The sequence below is a fragment of the Homo sapiens genome, chromosome 10, assembly GCF_000001405.40.
Source record: "Homo sapiens chromosome 10, GRCh38.p14 Primary Assembly".
In the NCBI taxonomy this organism is placed as follows: Eukaryota; Metazoa; Chordata; class Mammalia; order Primates; family Hominidae; genus Homo; species Homo sapiens.
Genome location: NC_000010.11, coordinates 13,199,698 through 13,211,372, shown reverse-complemented (window position 1 = coordinate 13,211,372; position 11,675 = coordinate 13,199,698). Strand labels below are relative to the sequence as shown.

The 11,675-nt window shown below is 44.5% G+C and overlaps 1 protein-coding gene across 4 annotated transcripts in view; it reads right to left on the bottom strand.

Annotated features, from left to right (window-relative positions):
• Positions 1-262: 262 nt before the first annotated feature.
• MCM10 (minichromosome maintenance 10 replication initiation factor) overlaps positions 263-11,675 on the bottom strand; it is a 49,553-nt gene continuing 38,140 nt past the window's right edge. For all 4 annotated transcript variants that reach the window (XM_011519538.3, XM_047425437.1, NM_182751.3 and 1 more), the window contains exons 17-20: positions 9,839-9,952; positions 7,009-7,154; positions 2,240-2,282; positions 263-2,146 (exon numbers count right to left, since the gene is read on the bottom strand). In XM_011519538.3, coding sequence (XP_011517840.1) covers positions 2,063-2,146; positions 2,240-2,282; positions 7,009-7,154; positions 9,839-9,952 — 387 coding nt within the window. In that variant the 3' untranslated portion in view covers positions 263-2,062. The remainder of the gene's footprint in view (positions 2,147-2,239; positions 2,283-7,008; positions 7,155-9,838; positions 9,953-11,675) is intronic.

Sequence of the window (11,675 nt, the reverse complement as noted above, 5' to 3'; positions counted from 1 at the left end):
TGTAATCCCAGCTGCTCGGGAGGCTGAAGTGGGAGGATTGCTTGAGCCCACGAGGTGGAGGTTGCAGTGAGCCAAGATTGCGCCACTGCACTCCAGCCTGGGTGACAGAGCAAGACTCTGTCTCAAAAAAATAAGTAAAATAAAATAACAAGTTTCCCTACCCCACCCCTACCGACCGCGTCTCATCCCCAAATATGCTAAGAAAGCACATGCACAGAGCACCTCAAAGCAAAGTCCCCCAAGATTGAGCAAAACTAAGAAGTGACAATTATGTTTTAAATTTATTTTAAAAGTTAAAATCAAATTGTAAAAAGGCATCCAGATACAGCTCACCCTCAGCCTTTACAAGCATATTATACAACTTATATAACAATATACACGTGAATACTGACTGCAATGATACCCTCTGTTCAAACAAGAACATTGTTTTTCCCATAAGAAAGGGATTGCTCAGACACCAACCTGGTGTTCAAGTTCTGTTGTGACCTATTTCATACACATAGCTGTTTTAAGTTAATGAGATAAATAAATCTACCCTAAATGAGCCATTAAAAACATCAGTTTCAAGTGCTTTCTGGTTCTTATTAATAAATACTTTATTCTTTTCTTTGTTAGAAAAAATTAAAAAGAAAAGCAACCTTCTATAAAGTAGAAGTATACTCCTAAAAGAATAGTTATTAGGACATAACCTTAGGAGGAACACAAGTTAGATACAGCACCTTCCACCCAATTAGAGCAGAATTTTATGAAATCTAAGGCATGTAAATTTTATTTCTAGCTTTTGAAAACCTAAATCAACCATCTCCCACAACAACCTCCCAAAAGTGTTATGTCCCTAACATAATAACATCTTAGGGGAAACCTAAATTACTTTTAGCTACAGCTCAAGCTTCAATACAATAATTCAACCAATTTACCCAATCTTTAGCTAGTATCAACATTCACTTAGGTCAAATGATATTTGGAAAACCAGGTTGCCCAGATGGAAGAATCTCCTGAATGAAACCTTTGCTGTGGTAATTTGCATAGGGGTTGACCTTTCATTTTTTTTTTTTTTTTGGAAACAGAGGTGGGTGGATTGCTAGTGCTCAGGAGTTTGAGACCAGCCTGAGCAACATGGCAAAACCCCATCTCTACAAAAAATGCAAAAATTAGCTGGGCTTGGTCACGCACGCCTGTAGTCCTAGCTATTTGGGAGACTGAGGTGGGAGGACTGCTTGAGCCCAGGGAAGCCAAGGCTGCAGTGTGCCGCGATCGCACTACTGCACTCCAGCCAGGGTGACATAGTGAGACCCTGTCATAAAAAATAAAAAAATTAAAAAAAAAATAATATGAGATTTTACATATTTCTATCACAGGGCTCCACAATAATGTAAGAGCAGACACCTTCTTTCTCTCTATATATATAAACTGAAATGCAAAGTGATTCAGTGGCTTGATCAATTTCAAAGAGTAAAACAGAGATAACAGAATTGAATGAAGAAATCTGGCTTTTAATGTCCGTACATCAAGACTATGTGATCATCATTATCTAGATGGGAAAGTTTTATTATTTGTAGAAATCCAGTGCTAAAAAATACATTTCAGGATCACTTAGTCCAATCTTCCTGATTTTACAGATGAGAAAACTGAAGCCCAGAAGTTAAGCTACTTACCTGGAGTGAGAATTAAGCCAAATTCTTTTGCCTCTGGGTGTTCGTATAAACACTAGAATTTTGTTATGATAAAGAAGTGAACACTCTATAACCAAAAGATACAGAAACATAGCTCTCTGTTTACCTTCCAATTTTTGGGCAAAAACTTCAGTGAATGAAGTAATGCAATCATCCACACTGAGCTTAGAAAAGACAATGATAACTTGGTTTTCCACTTAAATGTCAATGTTAAATGTGGTATCAAACCAACCCAATGGCAGAAAGTAAGCAGGCAAAGCTTATGGGCTTAACAAGCATTTGTTTTTGACGGCGTCAATCAGGAATCAATGGACAATACACAGCCAATCCTTTGCTTTCCAGAGTCACAGGAGGCCAGGAAGTCTGTGGGAAAATGTCTGAAGTTCGGGTTATTTAAGGCTGTTCAGAAATTTAGCATGTTCTTCTCCTCTTGGTAACAGAGTTTCTCCTCCTATCTTTGGACCAGTCTTTTCCTAGAAAAATGAAAATATTTTAATAGGAGATGGTTCCACATTATTAGCATGGGTCACTAAAAGGAGTCAAAAATTAGTACGCAAATGGCATACCTTTAGCATTCCGTCCCGTTCCCATTTGTAGAGGCCACAGTTACTGAAACAGAACAGATGGATTTACTCAGCAGGGTGGTGTAGGCCCACTCATGTAAAGACGACGGTGCTCACTGCACCTGGGGAGAGTAGGCCCCCATTCAAGGAGAAGCTGTTCAAGGTGACATTCGTATTGTATGCCAAATCTGAGGTTATGCTCAAATGCGACAAAAATAAACCTGCAATGACTTGGGAAGTGGTCTGTAGGTCCTTACAAAGCTAGAGGCTTCAGAGATGGAGCTTCAAATGATAATGATGGCACCACAGGGATCCACGCACTGCAGGTAATGAATGCACCCTTGGTTTTTACAAATGATGGTGGTTGGGATGAGACTCAGATTTAAGGAGCTGGCCCTCTGGTGCAGGATAATCTATGTTTGGCCCCTTCCTCCTCTTTTTTTTGGAGCAAAAAGGTTGAGCTAAGAAAGGAATAATCTTCTTTCTAGTCTGGATCATCCTTCTCCCTTTCTCTTTATAACCCAAAAGCCTTTACTCACTTTCTTTTCTTTTCCTTTTTTTTTTTTTTTTGGAGAGATGGGATTTTGCTATGTTGCCCACGCTGGCCTCAAACTCCTGGGCACAAGTGATCTGCCTGCCTCAGCCTCCCAAAGTGCTGGGATTACGGGCGTGAGCCACTGTGCCCAGCCTCTTTACTCTCTTTTTATTCAAAGGGCCCAGGGACTCTTGTTTTGTTTTTATTTTTTTTTAGAGACAGGGTTCACTCTGTGGCCCAGGCTGGAGTGCAGTAGTGCGATCACAGCTCACTGCAGCAGCCTTGATCTTCAGGGATCAAGTGATCCTCCTGCCTCAGCCTCTTGAGTAGCTGGGACCAAAGGTGTACACCACCATGCCCAGCTCATTTTTAAATTTCTGTAGAGATGGGGAGTCTCACTATGTTGCCCAGGCTGGTCTTGAACTCCTGGGCTCAAGTGTTCCATCTGCCTCAGCCTCCCAAACTGCTGGAATTACAGGCATGAGCCACCAAGTCCAGCCCTTCTTGCTCTAGTTTTTAAAATGGTGGGTGACTTCCACCCTGAGAAGGGATGTGAACACTATGGTGAAAACTTATTTCCTATGAAGTTTACTCTGGGAAAAAGAGAGAGAAAGAGAGAAGACATATAATAAAGCTAAGGAAGTATGTCTGCCTGCTTACTTGGATTTCAGAGGGTTGGGGTGGGGTGGGGATGCTCTGCCTGTCTCCCCTTCCCCTTACCTAGCTTAGAGTCTACTCGTTCTCATTAGTCTGTTCTCATGCTGCTAGTAAAGACATACCCAAGACTGGGTAATTTATAAAGGAAAGAAGTTTAATGGACTCAGTTCCACATGGCTGGGGAGGCCTCACAATCATGGTGGAAGACGAAGGAAGAGCAAAGGCATGTCTTACATGGCGGCAGGCAAGACAGTGTGTGCAGGGAACTCTCCTTTATAAAACCATCAGATCTCATGAGACTTATTTGTTTTCATGAGAACAGCCCGGGAAAGACCTGCCCCATGATTCAATTACCTCCCACTGAGTCCCTCTCTCAACTTGTGGGAATTATGGGAGCTACCATTCAAGATGAGATCTGGGTGGGGACACAGCCAAACCATATCACAATTTCTGCCCTGAAAGGTGGCACGCCAGTGGCCTTAGCCCTTACAACCTCCCAACCATCACCTTCCACCTCTAGAGACTGGTTCAGTATCAATGAAGAGAACTCTGGTAGCCTATATGTCGATCAATGATAAAATTGTGAGAAAAAAAAAATCACTATTCTAGTTAGGAGTCAGCAAACTACAACCCCAATCCAGCACATCACCAGTTTTTATAAATAAAGTTTTATTTGAACACAGCCGTGCCCAGTTGCCTGTGTATTATCTATGGTTGCTTTCAGGCTGCACCAGCAGAGCCGTGTGGTTGTGACAGATCATCTGGCCCACAAAGCCTAATATATTCACCACTGACATTTTACAGGCAATGTGTGCTGCCTTCTGTTCTAGATCAAGAACTAGCCAAGCATGGTGGCTCAGGCCTGCAATCCCAGCACTTTGGGCAGCTGAGCCCACTTGAGCCCAGGAGTTTGAAACCAGCCTGGACAACATAGTGAGACCTTGTCTCTATAAAAAAAAGTAAATTAAAAAAATTAGCTGGGTGTAGTGGTGCACACCTGTAGTCCCAGCTACTCAGGAGGCAGAAGCAGAAGGATCGCTTGAGCCCATGAGTTCAAGGCTGCAATGGGCTATGATCATGGCACTGCACTCCTGCCTGGATGACAGAGTGAGACCCTGTCTCAAAAAAAGAAGGAAAAAAAAAAAAGCAACTGACAAAAAGTCCAGAAAAAACATGGTTCTTACAATCACAGTGCCATCTGGAGGCTGAAAGGCATCATGCCCTTCCATTTGTGCCCTGTACTTAATAAACAGAATTTTTTTTAATTTTTCTAACGTTTTCCATAAGCTCTTGCTATAATGACATTTTTAGTCATCTAGTTTGGAAAAAAGTCAAGTATCAATATATAAATAACTACTTAAAAATTATAATCTAGATTGTGAAAAATTGGCAAGCCAGCTCCTGGTAAAGTGATGAACTAGCCCGGCTTCCTGGCTCCCTCCCTCAGATCTCTGGATCGACCCTGGAGAATCTGAAGTGAGAGTGAAGTATGAACTCCAGGAAGTGAACAACAAATGAAAATAAGCAAGCACACCAAAAGGCAGTGATACTATCCCAGTGAGAGCTCTTGACAAGAATAAGAACTCATTGTGGTGAAAGCACTGAGGGGCTGAGGCCAGGGGACCTGTGTGGGGAGGGTATAGGGTGCCCGTGGGCGAAATGTGATGGGTGCTGCCTTGGGCACTGTCATCAGTTAGGAAGCCGAGGAACATAGCGAGCACAGACGCATCCTACAAACACAGAGCCGAGTGAGAAACAAAATCAAATGAGACAGAATTCTGTACCACCTATGTGAAATAAAAACGGCTGCAGAGCAAGCAGTACACGTTCACAAGAAAATTAACAAGAGGATCACAGCAACCATTGGAGAATGGCAGAGGATGGTGCGAAGGGATAGGATGGAGGGAGAATGGGTAAGAAGAGCACGTGAATGAAACAGGGAGGGCACTGGATGGACCTGCGACGGCAACATGCTGCACCAGGGAGGGTTCCTTAACCCAGCTCCAGAGGTGCCATCGTCGTATTCTATGTGAAGGATGTTCCTTGACTGTCAAACACGGCAGCTCTGCCTCCGTATCTGATGTTGCCCCCAAAAGTAAAAAGAGAAACAAAAGACACTTACAACACACACAGTCAGCCTACCACACCTGTGGGTTCAAGCATCCCATCCGTGGGTCCAAAGTATTCGGAAAAACACTCATCATCAGAGTTATCATCTTATACCAGTAAGAATGGCTATTATTAAAAAGGCAAAAAATAACCAGATGCTGGCGTGGATGTGGTGAAAAGGGAATGCTCACACTGGTGGGAATGCAAATTAGCACAACCTCATATAGAAAACATATGAAGATTTCTCAAAGAACTAAAAATAAAACTACCATTCAATCCAGCAATCCCACTACTGGGTATCTACCCAAAGAACAAGAAATCAGTACACTGATTTCTGCACATGTATGTTTATCACAGTAATAGTCAAAATAGCAAAGACGTGGAATCAACCTAAATGCCCATCAAGAGATGACTGGATAAAGAAAATGTGGTACATAAACACAATGGAATACTGCTCAGCCATATCAAAGAATGAAGTCATGTCTTTTACAGCAACATGGATGGAACTGGAGGCCATTATCCTAAGTGAAAAAACTCAGAAACAGAAAGCCAAATACTGCATGTACCCACTTACAAATGGAAGCTAACATGTGTATGCAAGGACACAGAAGGCGGAATAATAGACACCGAAGGGTGGGAGGGGGCGAGGGAGGAGAAATTACTTAATGGGTACAATGTACATTATTTCAGGTGATGGCTACACTAAAAGCCCCGACTTTACTATTACACAAACTATCCAGGTAACAAAATTGCACTTGTGCCCCTTAAATTTATACAAATTAATATATATATATATATATATATATATATATATATATATATATATATATATACATACATACATACATACATGAGAAGCACAATAAAAAATACAATAAAAAACAATATAACAACTATTTGCAGCACTTACATTGTATTAGGTATTATAAGTAATCTAGAGATGATTTAAAGTATATGGAAGGATGTGTGCATGTTATATGCAAATATGACACTATTTTATATCAGAGACTTGAGCATCCACAGATTTTGGTATCCTGTGGGGAAGAGTGCTGTCCTGGGACCAATGCCCCTTGGATACTGAAGAACAGCAGAGTCCTCACAAGCTAAAGACATTTAAAATGATCAAATAACTCTTTGGAGAGAGGAAAAAAATATTATGTGCATCCTAGCCCCCAACAAACACACACATGTTTACCACCTCACCCTATGATTCTTCACTTATTTATTCAACAAACACTTCTGAGGACCCCTTATGGGCCAGGCACTATATTAGGTGTTGGGGACAGCAGTGAAAGGGCAGGGTCCCTTCCTTCCAGGGATTTCAGTTAACAGCTTGAGTCCCAAGGGTAGCCTGGAGCTATAGGAAGGCATGGAATGATCATCCAACGTTCCAAGGGAACAGAATCACAGACTCTGGAAAAAGAGATGAAAATCCCCACGTGGGACAAAGAGCTCCAGGTGATTCTCATACCTGCAGTGCTTGTTCGGGAGTCTGTCCAAGGAGATGCTTCTGTTTCCACAGGGACATTTGAAAAACCTCTTCACACCATCATGCCAGTGGTATTCATGCTGCTCACTGACGCAGGTCTCCAGCAGCTTGAAGTGGGTATAGGCGCACTGCACAGAGCAACAAAAAACCCACACCGCCGGTGAAGAGCCTTTGAGGACAAATGCTCAGCTGCAGTAAGGGCAATCTGCTCCATGACCACCTGGTCTCTCATCACTACCTGGGCCCTTGCTAGGGGACTGGGCCACCTTCGCCTCTTGCTACAGTGACCCGTGTGATTGCCCGACTCCCTCACACTGATACCACCGTTTCTCACGTTTGTCCCAATTTCTGATCAGGCACAAAGTACACAATAACTTTCTGTTATTGTGTAACACGTTCCATGATGACAACAGCAAGGGCAGGAGAGGAAACGTACTGTAAACCCCTAAATAGCTTCGGTCAGTCTGTGCTAGAGTCATTACGGCCCCTTGCTTATATAGGATGCTGAGGCTTGGGATCTATTTAGACTGATCAGCAGCTCTTTCATTCTCTTCTATGATCTATAAAAAGGATATAGGCTTATTCTTACTCCCTATTAGCAGCAAAGCCAAGACAGAGAGATTGAGGAATTCACTTTTAATTCCGATCCTCAGAAGGACCGAGGAGAATGAGAAGGGGTGGGTGAGTAGCAAAACATGTGCAGTAGAGAGCGATGTAACTTCCGGGAATTACACTGAGCTTGATCAATAACTCGACACTTGGACAACCTCAGAAAGTGCAGAGCAGAGTGGTGAGCCCAAGGCTGGCATGACGATGGCCCTCTAAAAAACGTGCACACCCTACTCCCCGAAACTGTGAGTGTGTGATGGTCCAGAGGGAAGGGGAATCGAGGCTGCAGGTGAAATTCAGGTTGCTAATGGATAGGGAGATTGTCCTAGATGATCTGGGTGGGCCCAATGGAATCACAAGGACCCTTAAACGTGGAAGAGGAGCTCAGGGCTGCAAGGTGAGAGCTCAACCTGCTGCCGCTGGCTGCATGGAGGAAGTGAGGGCAGGCAAGAATACTGTGACTCAGAAGCTGGGCCAGGAGATGATTCTCCCCTACTGCAGCCCCGTCTGCAGGAAACCTGGCCCTGGCTACACCCTGATTGTAGCCCTACAGACTTCTGACCTACATAAGAGATAATAAATGTACACTGTGAGGCCAGGCATGGTGGCTCATGCCTGTAATCCCAGCGCTTTGGGAGGCCAAGGCAGGCAGATCATCTGAAGTCAGGAGTTCCAGACCAGCATGTCCAACATAGTGAAACCCCATCTCTATTAAAAATACAAAAATTTGCCAGGCAGTGTGGTGCGTGCCTGTAATCCCAGCTACTCGGGAGGCTGAGACACGAGAATCGCTTGAACCAGGGAGGCAGAGGTTGCAGTGAGCCGAGACTGTGCCACTGCACTCCAACCTGGGCGACAGAGTGAGACTCTGTCTCCAAAAATAAATAAATAAATACATAATAAAATAACAATAAATGTGCATTGTGTTAGGCCACCTCATCTGTGATCATTGTTACGGTGGCAACAGGAGACAAACCCACTAAGTCCGCCTGCAGGTCCACCGCTGTGTCAGAGTAAGAGCTGTCATCTAGGGTGAAATGCAATGGTGGGTTTGTGTTTCCTGTCTTCCAAAGACACATAATCTTCCAAAGATTACGTTTAAAAGAATCATCTTTACTTATGCCCCAAGACAGAAACTTTCTCAAGGAAGCCCTACTTTTGGTGGTAGCTGATTTGGAGCTGACCCCCAAATGCATAGGAGAGCTAAAGTGTTAAAAGGAATAAGACAGAGAAAAGTGCACTTGGTAAGCTATGCCACTTCCACCTCTTCTGCATGTTTATTAAGTAGGCTGATTTGCCACACAGGGATAGTGGGAACAAATGGTAATGGAAGGAACAGTGTTCAGCAAGAGCTTTCTTCTTTCTTGTCTTTTTTCTTTTTGAGATAGGATCTCGCTGTGTTGCCCAGGCTAGGGTGCAGTGGCGTGATCATAGCTCACTGCAGCTTTGGATTCCTGGGCTCAAGTGATCCTCCTGCCTCAGCCTCCCAAGTAGCTGGAGCCACAGGTGTGCACCACCACACCGGCTAATTTTTTATTTTTTGTTGAGATGGGGTCTCACGATGTTGCCCGGGTTGGTCTCAAATTCCTGGCCTTAAGTGATCCTCCTGCCTTGACATCCAAAAGTGCTGGGATTCCAGGCATGAGCCATCACACCCAGCCCTTTCTTCCCATTTTTAATCAGTGTTGAAGAATAGAGGACTTAGAATTTTCTAACAGATTTATGATAAAAATTCTGCAAACACAGATGATGATCTAATCCACACTCTGGCTTGAGACTCAACAGAGCAGATTGAGCCAGGAGTAGGAAAGCAGTGGTGGATCATAACAGGAGAGGCCAGGGGGTTCAACCACGGTCCCAAGGCCTGAGAACGCTGAGCGAGGATACGCCAAAACCTGAGAAAGAGCAGTCAGAGCCACGCGGACCCAGTGGTCCAGGGCAAGAGATGTTAGGACCCATCCAAACTGGGGGCTGTGGTCAAATGAGAGAAGAATCCCCTCGACAAACACTCCATCAGCAGAGCACAGCAGCCAGGTCAGGCAGGAAGCCGGGTCCTGGGCCACCTGCGCCCTTTGCTTTCCAGCCTAATTAACTGACACATCACGAGATAGGGCCCCAGATCCCACAGGTTCTCCACATGCTGCCGAGTCACAAAAGCACCACACAGGGCCCATGGGTTGCTGCAGCCCCCACCTTCACCCACCGTCTTGCATGTCACGACACGGCACTTCACTTCTCTGATGTTTCTCATCTTTTCTTCCATTTGTTCTTTTTTCACCAGTGGCTCAAAGTAGCGCTCCTGCATCTCAGCCTCGGCCTGGAATGACAGGGCATAATGAAAGACCTGGTACTAAATCCAGTATGCACTCAGGCAGCACAGTAAGAGTAACTCGATGATTATTCAAATGACTCAGCTGATAATAATCAAAACAGAACAGAATGGAAGAGGCAGGCTAAGTGTGAGAGGGCCCTGGACAGCACCTCATGAGCTGCAAAGCAAAAGATGATGATGCATAGAAACGAGCTCTTAATATGCAAAAACAAAGGGACATGAGAGCATTTGGTGATTTTTATTTTTATTTTATTTTATTTTTGAGATGGAGTCTCGCTGTAACCTAGGCTAGAGTGCAGTGGTGCAATCTCTACCTTACTGCAACCTCTACCTCCTGGGTTCAAGTGATTCTCCTGCACCAGCCTCCTGAGTAGTAGGGACTACAGGTGCCCGCCACATGCCCAGCTAAATTTTTGGATTTTCAGTAGAGATGGGGTTTCACCCTGTTGGCTAGGCTGGTCTCAAACACCTGACCTCAGGTGATCTGCCTGCCTTGGCCTCCCAAAGTGCTAGGATTACAGGCATGAGCCACCGCACCTGGCCCATTTGGTGACTTTTAAAGCACCAAATACAAATAAACACTCCTAACATGACAGTATCAGTATGTCAAGTGTGTGCCCAAAGGCAGTTATTTCTACTGTTCTAATACAGACTCCACATACACAAGGTATTCCAGGCCCCCACTGGTGAGTTTCCTGGGTGCACGGGACATCAGGGAACAGCCCTGAGGGCAGAGATGCTTGTGGCAGAATGTGGGTGCAGCGATGGGATTAGTGCTGCTCCACAGACAGGAGGGCCTGGGGCCAAGGGTTCCACAGAGGCGAGGAGCTCAGCTCTGCAGCCTGCAGTCAGCTCTGGCATCTCTCCTGAGTTTCAAGTCCAGTGAAAAGATATGATGCAGAACTGTCTCATTAGTTATTTGTTAATCAAAGGAAGAACAGATCATTCAGAGTAGTGATACTGAATGGGGATATTTTGAAAATTGGTGGGAGCACTTTCCTTTTCATTGCAATGATTGCTACCTCTGTGGCTGGCAGGGACCGGGGTGCTGCACTGTCTGCAATGCATGTGACAGTCACCGACACAACCAAGGATTGCTTCTCATCCTGCCTGGCTTCTGTGTGCTCTATGAGACATCTGTGTGGATGGGGAACCTGATTAAACCCTAGAATCTAACTGCTTTCTACACAACCCTACAATATTTGTGCATGGTTTTAACCTATGTTGACCATTCCAAGAGTAAAACTAGATAAACCCTGTCTCTAAAAAAAAAAATTAGCCAGTCATGGTGATGCGCCTGTAGTCCCAGCTACTTGGGAGGCTGAGGTGGGAACATCACTTGAGCCCAGGAGTTCGAGGCTGCAGTGAGCCCTGATGGGGGACAGAAAAAGACCTTGTCTCAAAAAAAACAAAACCTCCCCAACCCCCACCAAAAGTACATTATCTAGCCCTAGCTACTCAGGAGGCTGAGGTATGAGAATTGCTTGAGCCCAGGAGTTCAAGACCAGCTTGGGGAACATACGGAGACCCTGTCTGAACACCCCTCCAACCCCTGACAAAACCCCTACATTATCAAAGAAATAGGTCCATGCTATTTACCAAGACACAAACCTATGTGAGCCTCCATTTCTGGCTCATTTACACTGATAAGTCCAAGCCTCTGATGACTTGATTATTTCCCCTAAGCTAGTTCTGCCTCTGCATTTAT